Consider the following 23,865-nt stretch of genomic DNA (forward strand, 5'->3'; position numbering starts at 1 on the left):
TTATTTATTTATTTATTTATTTATTTATTTATTTATTTATTTATTTTGAGATGGGGTCTTGCTCTGTTGCCCAGGCGGGAGTGCAATGGCATGATGTCAGCTCACTGCAGCCTCCACCTCCCAGGTTCAAGCAATCCTCCTACCTCAGCCTCCTGAGTAGCTGGGACTACAGGTGCACACCACCACACCCAGCTAATTTTTGTATTTTTAGTAGAGACGGGGTTTCACCATGTTGGCCAGGTTGGTTTCAATCTCCTGACCTCAGGTGATCCACCTGCCTCAGACTCCCAAAGTGCTGGGATTACAGGCATGAGCCACCGTGCCCAGCCCACACTCCAAAGTTTTAAAGGATCTCAGAGAAGAGAGTGACTATCAAAGCATTTTGCAAAACCCTAGCTTAGCTGGGTGCTGTGGCTCATGCCTGTAATCCCAGCACTTTGGGAGGCCAAGGCGGGTGGATCACGAGGTCAGGAGATCGAGACCATCCTGGCTAACTTGGTGAAACCCCTCCTCTACTAAAAATACAAAAAAAAATTAGCCAGGCATGGTGGCACGCACCTGTAGTCCCAGCTACTTGGGAGACTGAGGCAGGAGAATCACTTGAACCCGGGAGTCGGAGGTTGCAGTCAGGCAAGATCACGCCATTGCACTCTAGCCTGGGCGACAGAGCGAGACTCCATCTCAAAACAAAACAAAACAAAACAAAACAAAAATCCCTAGTTTATGGAAGTCTTGGTCGAGGTGGCTTATGCCTGTAATCCCAGGAGGCCAGGAGGTTGAGACCAGCATGGGCAATATAGTGAGACCTCTGTCTCTACAACAAATTTAGCAAATTTAAATTTAAGTTTAAAAATTAGCCAGGTGGGGCCGGGCACGGTGGCTCACGCCTGTAATCCCAGCACTTTGGGAGGCTGAGGCAGGCGGATCACCTGAGGTCAGGAGTTCGAGACCAGCCTGAGCAACATGGAGAAACCCCATCTCTACTAAAAATACAAAATTAGCCTGGCGTGGTGGCGCATGCCTGTAATCCCAGCTACTCAGGAGGCTGAGGCAGGAGAATCACTTGAACGTGGGACGCGGAGGTTGCAGTGAGCTGAGATTGCACCATTGCACTCCAGCCTGGGCAACAAGAGCAAAATTTCATCTCAAAAAAAAAAAAAAAAAAAAAAAAAGCTGTAGTCCTAACTACTTGGGAGGCTAAGCCCAGGAGTTTTCAGGGCTGCAGTGAGCTATGATTGCACCACTACACTCCAGCCTGGATGACAGAGTAAGACCCTGTCTGTAAAAGAGAAAAAAAAGTGCTATTTAGAATGACTACCCAAGGGGGCATACTTTTCAAACCTTCTAAGCTCTAACTTTGGACCTGTTTACACCATAAGAAGGCAATTTACTTGGCCCACATTAGACAAGCCCCTTAAAAAATAACCATCACTGGGCCGGACACAGTGGCTCACGCCTGTAATCCCAGCACTTTGGGAGGCCGAGGCGGGCGGATTACTTGAGGTCAGGAGTTTGAGATTAGGAGTTCGAGAAACCCCGTCTCTAGTAAAAATACAAAAATTAGCCAGGCATGGTGGCACACGCCTGTAGTCCCAGCTACTGGGGAGGCTGAGGCAGAAAAATTGCTTGAACCCGGGAGGCGGAGGTTGCAGTCAGCTGCAATTAAGCCACTGCACTTCAGCCTGGACAACAGAGCAAAACTCTTTCTCAAAACAAACAAAAAAACCGTCACTAGATTGCTTTTTATGTCCTTGGCTTTCATTAGACATAACAAAAAGTATCCATGTGAATTTTGCTTTAGCATTTGTTGTTAAAATCTTCCTGATTACTTTATTAAATCATTCACTGTTTCCTAATAAAATCACATGAGAAACTACCTTTAGAATTTGGTTATATAGGGAAAAAAAATCTATGATGTCTCCTATGATTAATTCATTCCTTTCAGATGACAAAATCTATTCAATATGTACTGTGTTTTCATTTTTACCCTAGCATCCAGGAAGCTCAGAACTACATTTCTTTCTTTTTTTTTTTTTGAGACAGGGTCTCACTCTGTCTCCCAGGCTGGAGTACAGTGGCACAATCTCAAGGTGGCGAGTCCAAGCAATTCTCCCACCTCAAACTCTCCAGTGGCTGGGATTACAAGTGTGCATCACCACGCCTGGCTAGTTTTTGTATTTTTAGTAGAGGCAGGGTTTTACCATGTTGGCCAAGCTGGTCTTGAACTCCTAGCTTCAAGTGATCCACCCGCCTCGGCCTCCAAAGTGCTGGGATTACAGGCGTGAGCCACCGCACCCAGCCGATAACTACATTTCAAATTCAGTTACAGTCTTGTTTAACCCCATGATAATTGTGATCTCCTTTTTCTCTGGCCCTAATTTTCTATTTCTAGTTTTCTAGCCTATTGTAAAGACCCTTTATGCTCTTATGGACAAGAGAGGAGATAAAATTAACATTTGGTATGCTGATTTTAGAATTATTTCTGCAATTTTTACAAAGATAAATGCAAAGATATATGTCCTATGTTATGATATTTAAAGAATTTGTAGAGGTTACTCCGGGCATACTGCATGCCTATGGGGTAGCTCTGTTCCACAAGGAGCAGAAAAAAAAAAAAAAATTTGTAGTAACTGAAGAGGATCCAGAGAAAAGCAATAGAAAAAGAACAATGAATGGGCACTGGGGTAGTATGCCCATATTCTCCAACTCAAATATTGTGGCACATTGATGTAGCATATGGGCTAATAGAAGTGAATATCTGTAATTCGGACTGTCCTGAAAAATCCTGGAGATATGTTGAAGACAGATCCCAGGAGTCATGGTCATTATTCAGTATATATGAGAAGGTACAGAAAGGCTTTATCCTTTCTTTGGATCAGATTCCTTTGATGATCTGTTGAAAACACCGGAACTGCTCCCCAGAAAAATACAGACGCGCAGAGTTTCAGAAAGCAGAACCCCCCTGTTATCTATTTATTTTTCCACAATATCAAAAGCACTTTACAGCTGGTATTGCTGTAAAGAGTTCAGAAAGATGAGGAAGAACCTGAGCTGCCAAGTCAGATGGGAAGAATGGCAAATCAGCTACCAGCTGAAGTTCTTAACACTCTGAAGCCATTCTTAGACGGTTTAAGCCAGTGGGTGCTTTTTGTAGGTTCTCAACGTTTTAAAGTAACATATCCCTTTGATGAGCTGCTTAAGGTATGGGTCAGCTATCTCAAAAATACTCCCACAAACACCCCCACCCTCGCTCCCACCCCACAAATCTGCAAATAATTTCATGGGGTTCATGGACTTGCTAAAGCCCATCCTCCAATACTCGCTTCTGTTTAAGTGCAGACTTCCCAGGGCTCAGCGGAATGCCCTTGATGACCTTTAACAATCACCCTTTTATCATGGGGACAAGAGCGGCCTAGAAGGAGGTTTTTGGAGTCACCAGACCCCCATGGCCCCTCACCAGGCCCCTTCAAGCTCTCCCCTCCCCCACGCCCGCGCAGCGCAGGTGCGAAAACCTTAGGGGCCACCCGGGCGCGACAGCCCCAAAGCGGGGGGGATGGGACCCTGGGAGGGGCGGGGGTGGGGGTGGGGGCCTTCCCGGTGTTGCTTGGTGACCACGCTCTCCGCCCAGACCGTTCCATTTCTTCAGCAGGGGGCGCCCCGGGCCGGGCCGGCACTGACCAGCCTCGCAGAGCCACCCTCTTCCGGCCTGCCCCCCTCTGCCGGGCGATGGTGTGCGCCCGTGACGTCACAGAAGGCGGGGCCAGCGCCGCTGCCGGGTGCTGGAGGCGCCATTGGAGCCGGCTTGGCTGGCGAGCCCGGCTGAGGAGCCTCTTGGGCCGCACTTACCGCCGCGTCCGCTCCCGGTCCCTGGCCCCTCAGCGGCATGGCGTGCGGGGCGACGCTGAAGCGGCCCATGGAGTTCGAGGCGGCGCTGCTGAGCCCCGGCTCCCCGAAGCGGCGGCGCTGCGCCCCTCTGCCCGGCCCCACTCCGGGCCTCAGGCCCCCGGACGCCGAGCCGCCGCCGCCGTTTCAGACGCAGACCCCACCGCAGAGTCTGCAGCAGCCCGCCCCGCCCGGCAGCGAGCGGCGCCTTCCAACTCCGGGTAACCTGCCCTGCTCTGGGTTTGGCAGGAAGCCAGGCCCAGGCATTTTTTGGGGGGGGTGGTGGGGGAGGGTTGGGAATACCAGGCCAGTTTACCCAGGGACCCCTTCTTTGCCTTGAGAAAAGGGAACTGGGATGCCGCTGGGCCTGGTTGCTTCCGGTGATGGGAGGCATCCGGGAGGGGTAATGGGGCCACAGGGTCGGTTTTAGGTTTTCCTGGGGGAGGAGAGCCTGGAGGGGTGGACACCAAGAGGAAGATGGGAATACCTCTGGCCGCTCCGGGCCCTCCCTGTCGCTGAAGCCCCTCCTTCCTCCGCTGGCCGGGTCTGCACCGAGCAACCCTGCAGATCCAGTGGGCCATGGAAAATTGGATTCTACTCACGAACCTGGCCTGGAGGGCGGGGGTGGGATGGGGGCGGGTTACCGGGAAGGGGCGCGAGTGCGTGCTGTTTAGCCCTGTAGGGAGACATGATTTCCAGAAGTCTTTAGGAACCCAGAGGCCGCCGCAAGAGTCACGGAATCCGATTTCAACCTGATAATTTCTAAGGGACTGGCCACGTTCTTTTATTATATGGCTATTGCCTCGTACCATATATGGCTTGAAATCGGTAGATCATTAGCTAGAATTTGAGAATCCTACGACATACGGAGGTTCTACAGAACTAAGAATGTAACTGTCCTTAACAGGGACTCTCCTTCAGTAAGGCGTTCCACTTTGTCCAAGGAAAAGGACTGGCGTTACAGTAGACACCTCATAGCGCAGGAGTAGAGGGGAGGGTGCTTCAGCATTAATATTCTGCGATTTTAAAGGACTTCCGGAAATGAGGGGGGCGTCTCAATAATGGATTTGGGCAAGTCGTTTCTTTGTGTGTTTTTCTATTCCTCAAGCTTAAGCAAAACCTTAGGCTCACCGTAAAATCATCCTTTCCACCCCTTTTCAGTAGCAGTGCCTTCAGGTTTCATTTCCTCCTTCCTCTGCATATCGATCCACAATGCAAATTGCAGGCCCTCATCCTCACACCAAGATTCCTACACCCAGCTAAAGCTGTCCCAGACTTCATATCCTTAACTCGAGTTCACCTTTTTAATCCTAGAATTCAAAGGACTTATGAACTGTGACCATATCTTACCTAGTCAGTCTCTTACACATTTTTTTCAAACTGTGCCTCTGCTTTTTCCCCCAGACCCACCGCTCTGTGCCCTTATCATGTTTTTCCCTTCTATTTGCTAATCCCAAAAGAGTAATTTCAAGTCTCTTATCCATTAGCTGACTAACCTGCCCATAAAAAACGCTGTTCTACTTAAATTCCCCGGCCATTCAATGTTGTATAACCTTATGTACAGGATGAGATAATGTTTGCAAAAGTCCATTTTAAAGAACCCTCAAAGACAGGCGCCATAGATGGCCACTTGCAGTGATGTTTAGTTCTTCCCTAGCTCCTGCAGATACCTAAAGATAGTCCATAATCTTTTTGGGTCTCACTTCTGCAAATTGGAGTTCATACTTGCGCTATCTTTTGTTGAAGAACCCTCAAGATAGTTGCAAAAAGTATTTTGAAAAGTATAAAGTGATGGGTTTAATGTAAATGTTTTATTCAATACTACTATCCTCTAGACTAATTTGGTTGTAGTTCACATTACAGTAGCTGCTTCGTAAGTGATTTTTGGGCTGGGCGAGGTGGCTTATGCCTGTAATCCCAGCACTTCGGGAGGCCATGGTGGGTGGATCAAGAGACCGAGACCATCCTGGCCAACATGGTGAAAACCCTGTTTCTACTAAAAATAGCCGGGCGAGGTTGCGTTGAGCCAAGATCGCGCCACTGCACTCCAGCCTGGCGACAGAGCGAGACTCCATCTTAAAAAAAAAAAAAGTTATTTTTGTTTTGGGGGCAGTGGTGGCATGCACTTGTAATCCCAGCTACTAGGGAAGCTGAGGCAGGAGAATCGTTTGAAGCCGGGAGGCAGAGGTTGCAGTGAGCGGAGATCACACCATTGCGCTCCAGCCTGGGCCACAAGAGCGAAACTCCATCTCAAAAAAAAAAAAAAAAGAGAATGTGGGCAAGGCGTGGTGGCTCACACCTGCAATCCCAGCACTTTGGGAGGCTGAGGCAGGAGGATTGCTTGAGCCCAGGAATTCGAGACAAGTCTGTGCAACATAATGAGACCTTGTTTCCACAAAAGAATTCTAAGGCCGGGCGCAGTGGCTCACTCCTATAATCCCAGCACTTTGGGAGGCGGAGGCGGGCGGATCACCTGAGGTCGGGAGTTCAAGACCACCCTGACACACATGGAGAAATCCTGTCTCTACTAAAAATACAAAATTAGTGGGGCATGGTGGTGCATGCCTGTAATCCCAGCTACTCGGGAGGTTGAGGCAGGAGAATCGCTTGAACCTGGGAGGCGGAGATTGCGGTAAGCCGAGATCCGGCCATTGCACTCCATCCTGGGTGACAAGAGTGAAACTCCATCTCAAAAAAAAAAAAAAGCTAAAAAATTAGCTGGGCAATTTTTCTGAAATCCGAAATGCTGCAAAGTCTGAACTGATCCAAAAATTGAGTGTCAATATGACACTCAAAGGAAATACTTATTCACTGGAGTTTTTCTCATTTGGGGTAAGGGATGTTCAATTGGTAAGTATAATGCAACTATTCCACAATCCAAAACTTCTGTCTCAAGCATTTTGGATGAGGGATGCTCAATCTGTATGGTACTTTTTGTGGAAAGGTCCTGTAAAACTAAGCCTTTTATTGCTTAAATCTTTATTGAGTGCTAGGTGAATTCCAGACATGGAAGAAGGGGGTTGCTGACCGCAGGAAATATTTGTAAACGTAATGTGCAAAGCAATTAACTGATTATGACTTGAGAGTCTGAGAATAACTTCTGAATTAAGGTAGCATTTTAGCTGAGTCTTTTTTTGTTGTTTTTTGAGACAGAGTCACTCTGTTGCCCAGGCTGGAGTGTAGTGGCACGATCTTGGCTCACTGCAACCGCCGTCTCCCATGTTCAAGCGATTCTCCTGCCTCAGCCTCCCCAGTGGCTGGGATTACAGGCATGTGTCACTACGCTCGGCTAATTTTTTTTTTTTTTTTTTTTTTTTTTTTTTTTTTGAGATGACGTTTCGCTCTTGTTGCCCAGGCTGGAGTGCAGTAGCATGATCTCGGCTCACTGCAACTTCCACCTCCCAGACTCAAGCGATTCTCCTGCCTTAGCCTCCCAGAACGCTGGGATTACAGGCGCATGCCACCATTCTCAGCTAATTTTTGTATTTTTAGTGGAGATAGGGTTTCATCATACTGGTCAGGCTGGTCTCAAACACCTGACCTCAGGTGATCCGCCTGCCTCAGACTCCCAAAGTGCTGGGATTACAGGCATGAGCCACCACACCCGGCCTACTAATTTTTGTATTTTTTTTGTCAAGACAGGGTTTCACTGTATTGGCCAAGCTGGTCTCAAACTCCTGACCTCAGGTGATCTGCCCGCCTCGGCCTCCCAAAGTGCTGGGATTGCATGAGCCACTGCGCCTGGCTAGCTGAGTCTTGATCAAGTTTGAGCAATAGTCCCATTTCGAGCACAGGGAAACCATGAGAGCAAAGTCCAAAAAACCCACAATTTAAGGAGAGAATAATGTAATGTAACTAAATTATAGTGGAATCCAGATGGAACCAGGAAAATAAATTGAGGCCACATCTTGGAAAGTATTGACTGCCATGTTCAAGAGTTTGAATTTTGGTTTGTAGCAGTAGGAACACTGTAGAGTTTGGAGGATGGGCTTAGACCGGAAAAAATCTGGCAGCACAACCTCAAGTAATGGAGGGAAGGATTAAAATTATCCACTGTTAAAAAGAAATTTGAGTTTTTCTTTTTAAAAAAATTTTGTGCTTTATATGGCCTTCTACAGAAGAAAATCATGTCTAACTTTCTTATTTTTCTCCCATGGATACCGTGTTTAGATTCTTGGACTTCTTAGTCCTACCACCCTCAAAATTGTATCTTTCCATTTGTTAACATTGCCATACAGGAGGCAGAGGTTTATCAAAGACCTTCTGTTCTCTTAAGCGTTGTCCTCATACTTGTCCTTTCTTGTTTCAAGTATTTGCAGTTCTTATCCTTGTATTGGCTCTGGCTTGAGGAATAAGACATCTTAAAATACAGGGGGCTAGCGGTGGCTCACGCCTGTATTCCCAGCACTTTGGGAGGCCGAGGCGGGCGGATCAGCTGAGGTCAGGAGTTTGAGACCAGCCTGGCCAACATTGTGAAACTCTGTCTCTACTAAAAATACAAAAAATTAGGTGGGTGTGGTGGCGGGCTCCTGAAATCCAAACTACTCTGGAGGCTGAGGCAGGAGAATTGCTTGAACCTGGGAGGTAGAGGTTGCAGTGAACTGAGATTGTGCTATTGCACTACAGCCTGGGCGACAGGGTAAGACTCTCTTAAAAAATAAAGTGAGGTGAAAACTTAATAAATTCAGGAATCTAAAATACAAACTTCATAGCACTGTTTTGTTTTGTTTTTTGAGACAGTGTCTTACTCTGTTGCCCAGGCTGGAGTCCAATGGGGTGATCTCGGCTCACTGCAATCTCCACCTCCTGGGTTGAAGCAATTCTCCTGCCTCAGCCTCCCAAGTAGCTGGGATTACAGGTGCGCACCACCATGCCCAGCTAATTTTTGTATTTTTAGTAGAGATGGTTTCGCCATGTTGGTCAGGCTGGTCTCGAACCTCAGGTGATCCACCTGCCTAGGCCTCCCAAAGTGCTGGGATTACAGGCGTGAGCCACCATGTACAGGCTTTTTTTCTTTTTTTTAATACTGGGTCTCGTTATGTTGCCCAGGCTGGCCTCAAGTGATCCTCCCACCTTGGCCTTCCAAAGTGCTGGATTACAGGCATGAGCCACAGTGCCTGGCCCATAGCACTCTTGTTTTTTTGTTTTGTTTTTCTATTTTTTTTTTGAGGCAGAGTCTTGATTGTGTTTCCCAGGCTGGAGTGCAGTGGCACAATCTCGGCTCAGTGCAACCTCCACCTCCCCGGTTCAAGAGATTCTCCTGCCTCAGCTTCCTGAGTAGCTGGGACTACAGGCACGTGCCACCACGCCTGGCTAAATTTTTTTATTTTTAGTAGAGACGGTGTTTCACCATGTTAGCCAAGATAGTCTCGATTTCATGACCTTGTGATCTGCCTGCCTCAGCCTCCCAAAGTGCTGGGATTACAGGCATAAGCCACCATACCCAGCTGGCCCATAACACTCTTAAAGCATCTCCTACATTGTTCTAGTATTTAGGCTGAAAGTTAGGGACTTTGACTATGTGTGGAACCACTTGAATTCATGTCAGTTCCTGGACTGTACTGTCACTTGTTATGACATTATTGTTACCTTTAGTTTTTATTTTTACAACCTTATCAGGTAGGTATTTAATGTTTACATTGAAGAAGTAAAGATCCTGAATAACTTCTCAAGGTTATAGTCACACAGCTAGTAAGAAGCAAAGTGGCATTGTTAATACCTCCCACCATTAAAAAAAAAAAGGTGGTTATAGCAAAGTATACACTAGAATAATTTGAGTTGTTTGAGATGGATACAGGTATCTCTTTTTTTAAATTAGTAGGTACAAACAAAGAACTTGAAAACCACATCCTTTTAGATTCTTTGTTGTTTCTAGGAGTGTATTTCAAGGTGGTTAGTAATTTGTGTTTCCTGGGCTCCCTTTAATAGTGTTAGCAAATTTGCTTTGTGATTACCTTGACTTATAATCTCCCCACACACTGAGTTGCCTCTTAGGATCAGAAAATTATTTTCTAAGCCCTGACCATCACTTCTAGGCATTAAATCTCAGTTCTTTCCTTGGTCGATGTCCACACTGTAAACATAATGGTTTCTGCTGCCCCCTTTCCCAAAGTTTATTTTGATTTGTTTTTTAGATAAATCACCCAGGCTCCCTTGTGGTTTTTTTTTGAGACGAGATTTTGCTGTGTTGTTCAGGCTAGTCTCCTGGGCTCAAGGGATCCTCCCGCCTCCCCCTGCAGAGTAGCTGGGATTACACCCAGCTTTGGAGCCACCACTTCCAGCTCCAAAGATGCTTTTTTAAAGTCCCATATGGGACAAGAGCTTCCTTGTTAGAAGGTCTTGGGCAGTATGAGACTCACCCCTTAATACCCTAGGTTGTGAAATTGCGAAATTTAAAGGAGATTAAAAAATAATCCCTGTTAGGTAAACAGAGGTTTCTTTTACTGTAAATTGTACTAGTTAACCATCCAGCTAACTGCAGATCTTGTGTTCTTTGCCACAGGAAAACAAGTAAAGGGAACTCTGTCTGGTTTATGCCAAAGTAGCTATTCTTTTATGCATTGTTGAAATAGTGGCAATAAGAACATACTGTCTTTGAAGCCACTGGGGAGTGCTTGGTACGGTATAAACGTTTTGCTTGTTTATGTCGGGGGAGGGGGAGATTGAGACCTACATGCCAAAGGGAGTATCTAAAGTCTAGTCAGAAGATCTTTGTCTCTTCCCACTTCTGAAGAAAGTTTGAAGAAATGAGACAATAAAGTGAAAGCTCAAGTTTGTTTCTTTTTTATTAGAGCAAATTTTTCAGAACATAAAACAAGAATATAGTCGTTATCAGAGGTGGAGACATTTAGAAGTTGTTCTTAATCAGAGTGAAGCTTGTGCTTCGGAAAGTCAACCTCACTCCTCAGCACTCACAGCACCTAGCTCTCCAGGTAAGCCCACTTTGATCTGCAAAATTCGCATTAAGAGTTTGTAAATGGTACTTATAATGATGAATCTAGAATTGGCCTCCTCTAATGTAATAGAATTGCTAACGGGGATGTATTAATATTTACAGATATTTTTAAAACTATACAGTCATGAAATTGGAAGAAACCTCACATTGATTTGATGTGCTTCCATCCACCCAATACAAGAATATCTTCCTGTATAACTGCAATGTGTAATATTGTAGCCAGGGTGCAATAAATAGCCACATGTGGGCTATTTAATTTTAAACTAATTAAAATTAGATAAAATTTTGGCCGGCTGAGGTGGCTCATGCCTGTAATCCTAGCACTTTGGGAGGCTGAGGCAGGCGGATCTCCTGAGGTCAAGAGTTCAAGACCGGCCTGGCCAACATGGCAAAACCTCATCTCTACTAAAAATACAAAAAAATTAGCCAGGCATGGTGGCTCGCAGCTGTAATCCCAGCTACTCGGGAGGCTGAGGTTGCAGTGAGCTGAGATGACACCATTGTACTCCAGCCTGGGTGACAGAGTGAGTCTCTGTCTCAAAAAAAAAAAAAGTTTTTTTAAAATTCTGTTCCTCAGGTTCAGTAGTCACATTTCAGGTACTCATTAGCCACATATGGCTGTTGTATTGTACATGCAGTTACGAGATATTTCCATAATTGCAGAAAGCTCTGTTCAACAGGGGCTGCTCATTATTGACAAATGGTCAAAGAGGATGTGCTAAAAAATAGAATCTCAAGGTTGGAGACAGTCTTCATGGTCATGTAGTGACTCAGTTTTGCCTGCCATATTGCCTCCTGTTGGGGTTCAACAGCCCAGTGTTTGACCATCTCCAGTGGTGGTGAAATCTGTCTCCTTTAACAGTAGAAGAGTCTTATTTCCTCACAAAGTATTCTACTTAACAGTTCTAAAGGTTAAAAGTTACCTTGGTTAAAAAATGTCTCCTTACAAAATATAAACTGGGGTTTGCCCGGAATTAGGGTTAGGGGAGAATGAGGAGATATTGCTTGATGGGTAAGGGGTTTTAGTTTTTGTAGTGATGGAAGTGTTCTGGAACTAGAAGTGGTGGTAGTAGTGTAACATTTTGATTATGCTAAATGCCACTGACTTGTTTGCTTTAAAGTGATTACTTTTATGTTACGTGACTTTTACCTCAACAAATTATTATTTTTTAATCCAGAGTTCCTGGCTCTGGAACTGCACCCTTTCTGATTGCTCTTGCACATACATGATAAACCTGTCAGTGGTTACAACTAGCACTATTCTCTTGAGATTTCAGTAATATAATTTTAAAGTAATGGGATATGTTATGGTTAACAAAACAGTTACAAATAATGACTAGTGAGATGTTTTGGTTAGATTTTATTTGTAGAGAAAAAAATATCCTTGAGTTAGTTTAAGCAAAAAATTGTTTCAGTGTGTTAAATGGCTTACTGGCTAACAAATGGCCAAAGAAACAGATTTTAGCCTGAGCTTTGAGGAACACCTGAGAACAGGGCTGCTGCCCATGTTTTTTTGTTTTGTTTTGTTTTTTTGTTTTTGTTTTTTGTTTTTTGTTTTTTTGGGTTTTTCTTGAGATTTGCTCTGTCGCCCAGGCTGGAGTGCAGTGGCGTCATCTCAGCTCACTGGAACCTTCACCTCCCAGGTTCAAGCAATTCTTCTGTCTCAGCCTCCCGAGTAGCTGGGACTACAGGCGCCCACCAGCATACCCAGCTATTTTTTTGTATTTTTAGTAGAGGCGGGATTTCACCATGTTGGCCGGGCTGGTCTCGAACTCCTGACCTCAAGTGATCAACCCGTCTTGGCCTCCAAAGTGCTGGGATTACAGGCGAGAGCCACCATGCCTGGCCAGGGCTGCTGCTTTTATCATGATCAGAAAGCCACTTGTGGGATTTGTTCACTTGCCAGCTCCAGAACCAGGCTGGTAGAAGCTTATCCCTGTGACTTATCTCTGTACTGAATTCAAATCTTCTGTGAGTGAACCTGATTAGGAGAACCTTTTTTTTCTTTTTCTTTTTTTTTTTTTTTTTGAGTCCGTTTTGCTCTTGTTGCCCCGTTTGGAGTGCATGCAGTTGTGTGATCTCGGCTCACTGCAATCTCCGCCTCTCAGGTTCAAGCGATTCTCCTTTCTCAGCCTCCCAAGTAGCTGGAATTACAGGTGCCCATCACCACGTCCAGCTAATTTTTTGTATTTTAAGTAGAGACAGGGGTTTCTCCATGTTGGTCAGGCTGGTCCCGAACTCCCAACCTCAGGTGATCCGCCCACCTCGACCTCCCAGAGTGCTGGGATTACAGGCATGGCCACTGCGCCCGGCCTTTTTTTCTTTTTTCTTTTTTTTTTGAGATGGCGTTTTACTCTTGTTGCCCAGGCTGGAGTGCAGTGGCACAATCTTGACTCACTGCAACCGCCACCTCTCGGGTTCAAGCAATTCTTCTGCCTCAGCCTCCCGAGTAGCTGGGATAATGGGCATGCCCTACCACGCCCAGCTAATTTTGTATTTTTAGTAGAGACTGGGTTTCTCCACGTTGTCAGGCTGGTCTCCACCTCAGATGATCCGCCTGCCTTGGCCTCCCAAAGTGCTGGGATTATAGGTGTGAACCACCGCACCTGGCCCAAACTCACTTTTTCTTTTGGCCAGGTTCCTCATGGATGAAGAAGGACCAGCCCACATTTACCCTCCGACAAGTTGGCATAATATGTGAGCGCCTCTTAAAAGACTATGAAGATAAAATTCGGGAGGAGTATGAGCAAATCCTCAATACCAAACTAGCAGGTAGGCCCAGGCAGTGACTGCCATTGTCATTAACAGGGTTCAGTTAAAAATTAACACCAGTTAAATAACTTAGAAAAAGAGAGTAGGACCTCATGCAAGGGAGTTTATTGAGTTGCGGGTATGGAAGTTACTCTTTGGTGATTGTAAACACATCATTTATACATTATATGGAAGGACTTTTTTTTTTTTTTTTTTTTGGGACAGAGTTTTGCTCTTATTTTCCAGGCTGACACCACAACCTCCGCCTGCCAGGTTCTAACGATTCTCCTGCCTCAGCCTCCAGAGTAGCTGGGATTACAGGCATGCGCCACCATGCCTGGCTAATTTTTTTGTATTTTTAGCAGAGAGGGGGCTTCTCCATGTTTGTCAGGCTGGTCTCAAACTCCTGACCTCAGGTGATCCGCCCACCTTGACCTCCCAAAATGCTTGGATTACAGGCGTGAGCCACCGCGCCTGGCCAAGACTTTGTTTTTTAAATAGAGGCAAGGTTTTGCTGTGAGCCCAGCTCTAGGAGTCTCCAGCTCCAGGCCTCAAGAAGTACTCCACCTCAGCTTCCCAGAGTGCTGGCATTACAGGAGTGCTACACACCTTGCCCAGTGGGAGGGATTTTTCATTTGCATTTCTGAAAAGAAACAAACCAAGCTCTTGCAAGAATTTTCCATATCAATGAAGGCATTGAGTAGGCCATTTGGGCTAGCTGGCTGGTAAACAGATGGTTGTGATACTGTACTAAACTCTCAACAGGTGTTGTGGAAGAGTTCAGTAACATATTCAAACTTCCTAGTTAAGAAGTCATAGTTATGGATGTGGCGAGTTGGGTGTGATTTGGGAGGAACAGTAGAGTAAAAGCAAGGCTAGGGCAGGTTAGAACAAAGATAGTGATTAATGATGGCAACAATTAAAGCCTTTTGTGAAAGAAAGAGATCTGAATCAGAAATAGGAAATAGTACCTGTTTAGTGAAAGTGGATAATATTCCACATTAAACCACAGTACTCTATGTCAAGCACAAATCTCATCATACTCCTTTTCTGATTAAAGTCCTCAGCTGTACCCTATGGGATATAGGTCAAGATCTGTTGCTTAGGGTGACAGTGTGAGTAATTAAGAAATTTATGGGCAGCTTTCATGCTTTGCTGCTGTGTAATCATCAGAGAGTGAAGAAGCACAACTTTTTCCTGTAACACTATTGTTTCCTAGTCTGGTGACCCATACAACGTGGTTCCTCAGAATATTAATAGATCTGTTTTACATTGGGAGCTGTTGGGTTAAGCAAAGTTAAATGAGTTCCTTTATAGTAGAACTACTTTGATCCTTTAATATGTATTATAAGAAGAAGGTCTAGGCCGGGCGCAGTGGCTCACGCCTGTAATCCCAGCACTTTGGGAGGCCGAGGCGGGCAGATTACAAGGTCAGGAGATCGAGACCATGCTGGCTAACACGGTGAAACCCCGTCTCTACTAAAAATACAAAAAATTAGCCGGGCATGGTGGTGAGCACCTGTAGTCCCAGCTACTCGGGAGGCTGAGGCAGGAGAATGGCGTGAATCGGGGAGGCAGAGGTTGCAGTGAGCCAAGGTTGCGCCACTGCACTCCAGCCTGGGTGACAGAGTGAGACTCCATCTCAAAAAAAAAAAGAAGAAGCTCTAATATATCATTCCCTCTCCCACTCCCACCATAATACTGTTTCAGTCAGCTGGTTCTGAGTCACTTCTTTGTTCACAGATGTCAGGCTACCTTCTTCCTTTCTACTCAGTTTCCCCTTAAAAGGTGGTACTTCTGTGGAACTGTTTGCAGTTAGATGGTATAGATTTTCACTTAGCTTTCTAGCCATCCCACACTTCTTCCACTCATGTTTTTCACTCAATGTGTGTTGAAATTTATAACAAGGAAAGAGTTTCAAAGATTCATGTCCCATGGGAGATGGGCTGAAATTTCCTGGCTATGGTAGTGAGCTATTAATAGGAGATAGAGTTATGTCACGGGGGAGAGGTTATCAGGAAAATACCATTATATACCATCAGTGACCCATTCTAGAAGCCAAGGATTTGGCTCTGGGTTCTAAGAGGAACAGATCTCAGTGACCTTTATATAAGGTCACTGGACTTTAATACAAGGACCTTTATAAAGAGGGCCTGAGAGGGTGAAGAATTCAAACTGGGAAGCTATTTGTGATCCTGACGCTTGATTCTTAAAAATTGAGGGAGAGTTGCTGAGGATAAGTATGTACTGTCTTCTCACAGAACAATATGAATCTTTTGTGAAATTCACACATGATCAGATTATGCGACGGTATGGGACAAGGCCAACAAGCTGTAAGTATTGCCACATTTTCTTTGAATTTTCTAAGTTTCAAGAGCAAAATTTCTACACTGAAACTTCTCTCCTCAGAGTAAAAAGTCCCTGTGAAGTAAAATGTGCCCAGCACTATGCTAAGAGTATTAAATCCACACCAAAGCTTATATAAGCCTCACAGTGACCCTATGAGGGAGTACTATTATTAGCTCCATTTTACTGGTAAAGATAGCATTTAAAGAGGTTAAATAATTTGCCCAAGCTTATACAGCTAGTGGTTCAGCTAGGATTAAAATCTAGGTAGTCTGACTTGAGCACCAATTTGTTACCTGTCTTTTCTCCAGAAAGATAGTTTCAGTTGTTAATTTATGAAAGTTGATTCCTTAAGTTAGTTTATCAAGTGTGGTCAGGATTTCTTATTCTAAATAATTTGCAACTACCAGATATTCAAAGCATAAAATATTAACAGTTGTATATCTAACTGAATTTCAGTCAGGTTCCTTAAATTCTTGATCTTTAGTATCTTTTAAGTGGTGAGTCATCGTTCATGCTATTTCTCACATTTACTGTTAGTGAAAATTTTTAAAGCATGACACTACAGTTTTTAGTATTCTTACCCTTTTTGTTTTTTATTCTTAATTTACAGATGTGTCATGAAGCTTTGTCACATATCTGGGTACCAGGTTTGACCTCAAGAGATGGCTGCTGTACACTTTTTGCAACTGGTTTGATGTCACATTTCAGCTCCAACTTTGCATCCTGAGAACACTTAAACGTTTCTGCAGGTCCATTTTATACAACTTGAAAGACCGTAAAACTTTCTGGTTGCCACAAGCATATCTTTCTTTTCTGCTCATCCAATAAACAGCTGTGCCCTACTGTGATAGATTTTCCAAACAAAAATACCTGGAGCAGCAGTTTAGCAAAATATGCCTTCAGTGGCATTCAACAAATGGAGTTTCCCCAAGCACAGTTCTGTAAGAAGTGCGTGTGAGAGTGTGTGTATATGTGTGTATGTGTATTTTAAGTTATTATTTGTATTGTGCAAAAATTTTTTTTTGATCTTGGGGATTCTGGCTGTGAATTTGGTGCACGACAATTATGGTAAAAAAACATTTGCTTGGTCTAAAGAAGATCATTAATGTTTTGTGACCATACAAGTTGTAACAGTGGATTGTTTTTATGTGTAGGTATTGTTAAATACAGGGACTGTTTCCAGGCACAGAATATGAATCGTAAGTTAGGATGGACATTAGATGTGATTATGATGATAAAGCGAAGGTCTGCGGTCCTATATCTACAGACACGTGGTGAGAAATTAGAACAAACTGGAGACGGGCCATTGACACATGGACTCTGCCTGGGCATGTTAGGTTAATTCTTTGACTCCAAGCCTTAAAATACTCACATGGAGTCAGCGCTCACCTCATTCACACAATTATCATAGAGCTCCCTGGACACTGAACCTCTAAAGGGAAAAGGTCTACCCTGGAGCCAGGAGCATCAGGGTTGGCTTGGGAGCATGAGAGGTGAGCCCAGGGCTAGGCCTGGGCCAGGCCCCGGCAGCACTGCTACTTGGGAGGAGCCACTTCACCTTTGTATTAGTTATTAAAAAATATAATTTGGGCTGGGCGCAGTGGCTCACGCCTGTAATCCCAGCACTTTGGGAGTCCGAGGCATGCGGATCACTTGAGGTCAGGAGTTCGAGACCACCCTGGCCAATATGGTGAAACCCCATCTCTACTAAAAATACAACAAAGTTAGCCGGGCGTGGTGGCAGGCGTCTGTAATCCCAGCTGCTTGGGAGGCTGAGGCAGGAGAATCACTTGAACCCTGGAGGTGGCGGTTGCAGTGAGCACAGATCATGCCACTGCACTCCAGCCTGGGCAACAAAACGAGACTTCGTCTCAAAAAAAAAAAAAAAACATAGAATTTGGATCCTTTGGTCGGGTTCTCCCAAATTCTTTTGAGGTGTCCATGGTCAACTGCTTCAGCTTTGTTTTGGCAACCCCCTGCCCGAAGTCGCATATAGGCTGTTCTTCACCTTGTTTCCAAGGCTGAGGAACAGAAAGTAGCCTCTGTTTTGAGGAGGTGGAAGTTAAGTATACATTTATTTTTTACTGTGACTTGTTCAGGACCACATTTTACAAAATGCCTTGTTTCCTTCATTGTTTCTGGAAAGGAAAGTTCTATTAATATTGTTTTACTTTGAATATAGAATAGTTTTTTTAATTAGGGCTTATTTTGAAAAATTCTGAGTTTAATTCAAATGTATGCCAATACCTTCCAAAGTAAGGTAATATTCAGAGACAGTTGTTGTGATCAGATGGCTTAGAGAAATTTCTGGAATATTCACATTCGAAGATTCCTTATTAATGAATGTCTTTGACTTAAATCTAACCAAAAACTGCAACATTATTCTTTGTACATTTTCATTATATAGTGTTAACAAGCTTAGTTGCAAACAAATAAAATACTTAAGCTATTTGTTTACCTTGCCTTCTTAATACTGTGATAATGTTTATTAATTCAAATAACTTATGTGAGAGCTGCTATAACCATTTCCCCAGTTCAACATTGCATTGAAAATTTATGGACCTTTAAAAAAAAAAGCCCAACAGTGATTTTTTTTTAATAATTAAAGAATGATTTTACTTTGTATTTGAAGGGTGATTTGTTTCATCTCTTCTTTTTTCAGGGTAGTCACTTGTTCCTAAAAGAGGAACATAGCAGTGGCTGTAATGGGAATGGCTCTGCAGTGGGCTAGTCACACCAAAATAAAGAAAGGGCAGCTGTGGGAGCCATCAGAAGCTGTGGAGGCTGGACTGGTAATGGGGAATGCTGCCCCACTGAAGTCTTGTTTTAGAGATCAGTGTGATGTGCTCACTTAACTATAAAGTGTCAGTCCCCATTCCAACTAAGTGGCTCCTGGCTGGGAAGTAGAGTAGGTTTCTCTAAGGAAAATGACACCTGCTCACCACCCGCCCCACTATACCACATTGTTGTTAGGCTATCATATAATGATAAGGTAGCCCTCTGAGGCCACAAGGTAAGACCAAACCACCAGGGCTGGGTTTTGGGATCCCCTCTAAAGAGACCACACATGTTTGTTTAGTGTTTATAATCTAGAGAAAAGACAACTGGGACAGAAAATGGGGACCTGGAAGGTAGGTCTCAGACTGGTGAATGAATTTTTCCCTAGACCTTGATTTCCAGAGCTTGAATTTAAGGGCACTCCCAGGTAGAGAAATGTCTTTGTCCCATGGAAATTATAGACCAAGGAAGACGTCAACCTATAAAAACGTATAAGGGTTTCTCAGGAACAGTGTTTTCAGAATATCTGGTGAGCTAGCTAATTTTTTTCTCTATTTTAATTCCAGTTATTATCCTTGATAAAGTCTTAAGCTTAAGAGGAAAAAGTAAGTGTCCATCCTTGGGTCAGAAGTTAAAAGGAAGATCAGAGCTCCTAAGGCAGTGATAATTGTTAAGATCTTCCAAAGGGGAAGACCATCAGAGAGTACAAGAATTTAAGCCAGCGGGTGGCGCACGCCTGTAATCCCAGCACTTTGGAAGGCTGAGGGGCAGATCACCCGAGGTCTGGAGTTTGAGACCAGCTTGACCAACATGGTGAAACCCCATCTCTACTAAAATACAAAAATTAGCTGGGCGTAGTGGCGGGCGCCTGTAATCTCAGCTACTTGGAAGGCTGAGGCGGGAGAATCAACCTGAAACCATGAGGCGGAGGTTGCAGTGAGCCGAGATTGTGCCATTGCACTCCAGCCTGGCAACAGAGTTAAGACTATGTCTCAAAAAAAAAAAAGGATTTAAGCCAATCTTTCAAACCTGGTGAATCTTCTTACCATGGAGGATTGGTTGGCTAGCATAGTAAAGGACTGACTGCGTGGTTGTAGCTCTGTAGTTTGGTTTCTTCTCTGCCACTAATTTGGTTATGTCAGCCTTGCCAGATTACTAAACTTGCTGAAACATGGCTTGCTTACCTGTAAAATCGAGGTTAATAGTAGGTTCATATTGGGTTTTGTTTTCAAATGCAAGAAATCATCCATGTAAAGAAAGTATTTAGCACAGCTTAGGGCATAGACTATGCACTTTACAATGTTAGAGCAGGTTTCTTTATAGTAGTCTTCGTCAGACCTGGAGACCCAAACTTTTGTGTCCCAAGTAGTGATTCTCAGCTTTCCAATATGAATAGCCCCTTGTTAACATAAAGATCTCACTTTTTCTTATTAGAATTTGTACCTTTGTTTGATTAAGGAAATAAAAGATGAATGACAAATGAATTTGGTAATGCCTTTCTGTGAATCTGTATTCAGTATGTTTTGTATGTTAATATAGCAGGGTCATACAAAAACTGGCCTATTTTTGTAAAGTTTTGTAGAAACACTGCTACACCTATTCATTTGTCTGTGGCAGTTTTCACACTAACTCCAGACTTGAGTAGAGTAGGTGCTACAAAGACCAAAGCATGGGCCACAGAGCTGAAAATACTTACTCTGTGTCCTTTTACAGAAAAGTGTGCTGGCCTTTGCACTAAAGCATGAAGAAACATTTGGGAAAAAGCACACAGGCTGGGCACGGTGGCCCATGCCTGTAATCCCAGCACTTTGGGAGGCCGAGGCGGGCAGATCACCTGAGAATGGGAGTTCAAGACCAGCCTGGCCAACATGGAGAAATCCCATCTCTACTAAAAATGCAAAATTAGCCGGGCGTGGTGGTGCATTCCTGTAATCCCAGCTACTTGGAAGGCTGAGGCAGGAGAATCACTTGAACTTGGGAGGTGGAGGTTGAGGTGAGCCGAGATCACACCATTGCACTCCAGCCTGGGCAACAAGAGCAAAACTCTGTCTCAATTAAAAAAAAGAAAAAAGAGCAACAAACAAGGCAAAGTTACTTCATTTATAATCCTTGTTGCATCATGAGTTGGTCAACACTTACCCTAATTTGTCATTCTTAAGGCTGTTATACCTTAAGTTGAGGTGTGATGAAAATACCCTTTTTGCTTACAAATAAAAACTGATTGCCAAAGTAAGTATGTCACAGAAAAAGCTATTGAACAACTGTTTAGAGCAATGATTCTCAAGGATGGGGACACAGAGCATACTATTTGGGGAGGGAAAAAGATTTGAAATGACCAATTTTATTTCAAGCATTTTTAATTTTGGAATTTTAGGTACAAAAATGGGTGTGAGAATTTTGTTTAACAGAAAATAGCATGGCTTTAAAATAGTTTGTAAAATACTGTTCTTAAGGAACAGAGTGTAATAGTGCCCATGGGCTATTAAAAAGGAACAGAAACTTCTCTACTACTCTGGAGTCCTTTGTTGAAAACAGATTGAGGGAGTGCTGTAGTCTTCCAGAGCTACAGTTAAACTGGATAAGGTTGGACACCTGGAAAAAAGCGTACATTAACCCACCCTAAACCATACTTTTTTTTTTTCTTTTTTTTGAGATGAAGTTTCATTCTTGTTGCCCAGGCTGGAATGCACTGGTGCAATCTCGGCTCACTGCAACTTCCGTCTCCCGGGTTCAAGTGATTCTCCTGCCTCAGCCTCCCAAGTAAGTGGGATTACAGGCATGCACCACCACGCCCAGCTAATTTTGTATTTTTAGTAGAGACGGGGTTTTACCATGTTGGTTGGGTGGGTCTTGAACTTCTGACCTCGTGATCCACTCGCCTTAGCCTCCCAAAGTGCTGGGATTACAGGTGTGAGCCACCGCACCTGGCCACCAAACCATACTTTCAAGTAAATAATTAGCACTTTATTGTACTGAAGGTGTGATATTTTGACAATTTAAAGTTCTGGTCTTCATGGGTCTTTGTTTCGTTTTACTTATTGCTGTATCTAATATCTCCTTTTTTTTTTTCTTTTTTGAGACAGAGTCTCAGTCTGTCACCCAGGCTGGAGTGCAGTGGCGCAATTTCAGCTCACCGCATCCTCCGCCGCCTGGGTTCAAGCAGTTCTGCCTCAGTCTCCTGAATAGCTTGGATTACAGGCGCCCGCCACCACGCCTGGCTATTGTATTTTTCAATAGAGAAGGGGTTTCATCATATTGGCCAGACTGGTCTCAAACTTCTGACCTCGTGATCCACCCGCCTCAACCTCTGAAAGAGCTGGGATTACAGACGTGAGCCACCGCGCCCTGTGTAGTATCTCATTTTATGCCTGGTTATCTGTGAGCTGGACAGTATATTTGAAAAATTACGGTGGGCATGGTGGCTCAGGCTGGGTGCGGTAGCTCACGCCTGTAATCCCAGCACTTTCGGAGGCCAAGGTGGGCAGATCATGAGGTCAGAAGTTTGAGACCAGCCTGGCCAATATAATGAAACCCCGTCTCTACTAAAAATACAAAAAATCAGCCGGGCGTGGTGGCGGGCGCCTGTAATCCCAGCTACTAGGGAGGCTGAGCCAGGAGAATCACTTGAACCCAGGAGGAGGAGGTTGCAGTGATTCAAGATTGCATACCATTGCACTCCAGCCTAGGCAACAAGCAAATCTCCATCTCAAAAAAAAAAAAAATTATTATTTGCAGGAGTGAACAGGACAAGAATGAGGGTATCTATCTCTAAGAAGGATTTATGTTGCCTGTGGCTGAGGATACTACCAAATCATCTGATGCAGGTTTCAGAAGGCTGAAAGTACCTCAGGTCATCCAGATTAAATATAACCTGGTGGCAAGTCCACTTGAGAACTGGTTTACTTTTTTTGTTTGGTTTTGTTGTTGTTTTTTGAGACGGAGTCTCACTCTTGTCACCCAGGCTGGAGTGCGGTGGCACGATCTCGGCTCACTACAATCTCTGCCTCCCGGGTTCAAAGGATTCCCCTGCCTCAGCCTCCGGAATAGCTAGGATTACAGGCATGTGCCATCAAGCACAGCTAATTTTTGTATTTTTAATAGAGACAGGGTTTCACCATGTTGGCCAGGCTGGTCTTGAACTCCTGACGTCAGGTGATCTGCCTGCCTCGGCCTCCCAAAGTACTGAGATTACAGGAGTGAGCCACCACGCCTGGCCGAGAAATGGTTTACTTTTGATTCACCTTTATCTTAAAGGTGTAATTCTTTGGGATCCCAATTTAAGGTGTCTGTGGTGAGAATTCCCACCATTAGCTAGCCTTAGGTTTTGACTTTTGTCCAGTCCTTTGAGGCTGCTGAAAGACTTCTAAAAGTGCAGCTCAGGTGTCCAAGAACTTCTTCCAGATTGGCAAATGCCTTAAAGGAAAAAGCAGCTCTGACTGTTAGGCTTAGCTCTGCTTTCTCCTCACTTAGACTTTGGTTCAGTTCTTCCTTATTAGCTGGTTAGCTTTTTGATGCCTTTAAGAGAATGACGGGCTGGGCATGGTGGCTCACGCCTGTAATCCCAACACTTTGGGAGGCTGAGGTGGGAGGATCATTTGAGACCAGCCTGGGCAACATCAGAAGAACCTGCCTTTGCAAAAAATAAACTCAAAAAATCAGCCAGGTGTGGTGGCACACACCTGTGGTCTCAGCTTCTCTGGAGGCTGAGGTGGAAGAATCACAAGCCTGGGAGGTTGAGGCTGCTGTGAGCCATGATTGTGCCATAGCACTCCAGCTTGGGTGACAGAGCAAGACTCTTGTCTCAAAAAACTATATATATATATATAATTTTTTTTTAACTGCTTTTTTTTTTGAGGTGGAGTTTTGCTGTTGTCGCCCAGGCTGGAGTGCAGTGGCATGATCTCTGCTCACTGCAACCTCCGCCTCCCGGGTTCAAGTGATTCTCCTGCCTCAGCTTCCCCAAGTAGCTGGGATTACAGGCACCTGCCACCACACCTGGCTAATTTTTGTATTTTTAATAGAGACGACATTTCACCATGTTGGCCAGGCTGGTCTCGAACTCCTGACCTGAGGCGATCCACCCGCCTTGGCCTCCCAAAGTGCTGGGATTACAGGTGTGAGCCATCGCGCCCAGCCATTTTCATTGCTTT

General features: G+C 44.5%; 1 protein-coding gene across 2 annotated transcripts, besides 7 other annotated features; it reads left to right on the forward strand.

The window, feature by feature from the left end:
- Positions 2,901–3,673: an enhancer, noted in NCBI's record as "OCT4-NANOG-H3K27ac hESC enhancer chr1:39456070-39456842 (GRCh37/hg19 assembly coordinates)". NCBI's record gives its function as "activates a minimal SCP1, AML or CMV promoter by ChIP-STARR-seq in naive H9 embryonic stem cells {active_cell/tissue: H9 hESC(naive)}" and the evidence as "EXISTENCE:reporter gene assay evidence [ECO:0000049][PMID:30033119]".
- Positions 2,901–3,727: a biological region, named in NCBI's record as "OCT4-NANOG-H3K27ac hESC enhancer GRCh37_chr1:39456070-39456842".
- Positions 3,508–3,727: a silencer, noted in NCBI's record as "silent region_690". NCBI's record gives its function as "represses an Ori minimal core promoter by ATAC-STARR-seq in GM12878 lymphoblastoid cells {active_cell/tissue: GM12878}" and the evidence as "EXISTENCE:reporter gene assay evidence [ECO:0000049][PMID:35858748]".
- AKIRIN1 (akirin 1) lies at positions 3,779–18,562 on the forward strand. 2 transcript variants are annotated; one of them, NM_024595.3, is made up of 5 exons: positions 3,779–4,103; positions 10,674–10,814; positions 13,475–13,609; positions 15,850–15,921; positions 16,548–18,562. In NM_024595.3, exons 1-5 carry the CDS (start codon positions 3,884–3,886, stop codon positions 16,556–16,558), a joined length of 579 nt encoding a protein of 192 aa, NP_078871.1. In that variant the 5' UTR covers positions 3,779–3,883; the 3' UTR covers positions 16,559–18,562. The 2 variants fall into 2 exon arrangements, with proteins under 2 accessions (NP_078871.1, NP_001129747.1); NM_001136275.2 differs by lacking the exon at positions 13,475–13,609.
- Positions 3,808–4,057: a silencer, noted in NCBI's record as "silent region_691". NCBI's record gives its function as "represses an Ori minimal core promoter by ATAC-STARR-seq in GM12878 lymphoblastoid cells {active_cell/tissue: GM12878}" and the evidence as "EXISTENCE:reporter gene assay evidence [ECO:0000049][PMID:35858748]".
- Positions 12,812–13,717: an enhancer, noted in NCBI's record as "H3K27ac-H3K4me1 hESC enhancer chr1:39465981-39466886 (GRCh37/hg19 assembly coordinates)". NCBI's record gives its function as "activates a minimal SCP1, AML or CMV promoter by ChIP-STARR-seq in naive H9 embryonic stem cells {active_cell/tissue: H9 hESC(naive)}" and the evidence as "EXISTENCE:reporter gene assay evidence [ECO:0000049][PMID:30033119]".
- Positions 14,040–14,334: a silencer, noted in NCBI's record as "tiled region #593; HepG2 Repressive non-DNase unmatched - State 17:Gen3', and K562 Repressive non-DNase unmatched - State 17:Gen3'". NCBI's record gives its function as "represses a minimal TATA promoter and a strong SV40 promoter by Sharpr-MPRA in HepG2 and K562 cells {active_cell/tissue: HepG2 | K562}" and the evidence as "EXISTENCE:reporter gene assay evidence [ECO:0000049][PMID:27701403]".
- Positions 14,585–14,754: an enhancer, noted in NCBI's record as "experimental_7850 CRE fragment used in MPRA reporter constructs". NCBI's record gives its function as "activates a minimal promoter by MPRAs in K562 erythroleukemia cells, with activity observed for both the introgressed and non-introgressed 1:39467839 variant alleles {active_cell/tissue: K562}" and the evidence as "EXISTENCE:reporter gene assay evidence [ECO:0000049][PMID:34662402]".
- Positions 18,563–23,865: the final 5,303 nt, after the last annotated feature.

Source organism: Homo sapiens, chromosome 1 (genome assembly GCF_000001405.40).
Source record: "Homo sapiens chromosome 1, GRCh38.p14 Primary Assembly".
NCBI lineage: Eukaryota > Metazoa > Chordata > Mammalia > Primates > Hominidae > Homo > Homo sapiens.

Bases quoted from the DNA above. Each gene is read 5' to 3' on its own strand.
- AKIRIN1 (NM_024595.3), top strand. From the start codon at position 3,884: ATGGCGTGCGGGGCGACGCTGAAGCGGCCCATGGAGTTCGAGGCGGCG. The intron at 4,104-10,673 runs GTAACCTGCCCT...CTTTTTTATTAG, and splicing joins GCGGCGCCTTCCAACTCCGG to AGCAAATTTTTCAGAACATA. The intron at 13,610-15,849 runs GTAGGCCCAGGC...GTCTTCTCACAG, and splicing joins CCTCAATACCAAACTAGCAG to AACAATATGAATCTTTTGTG.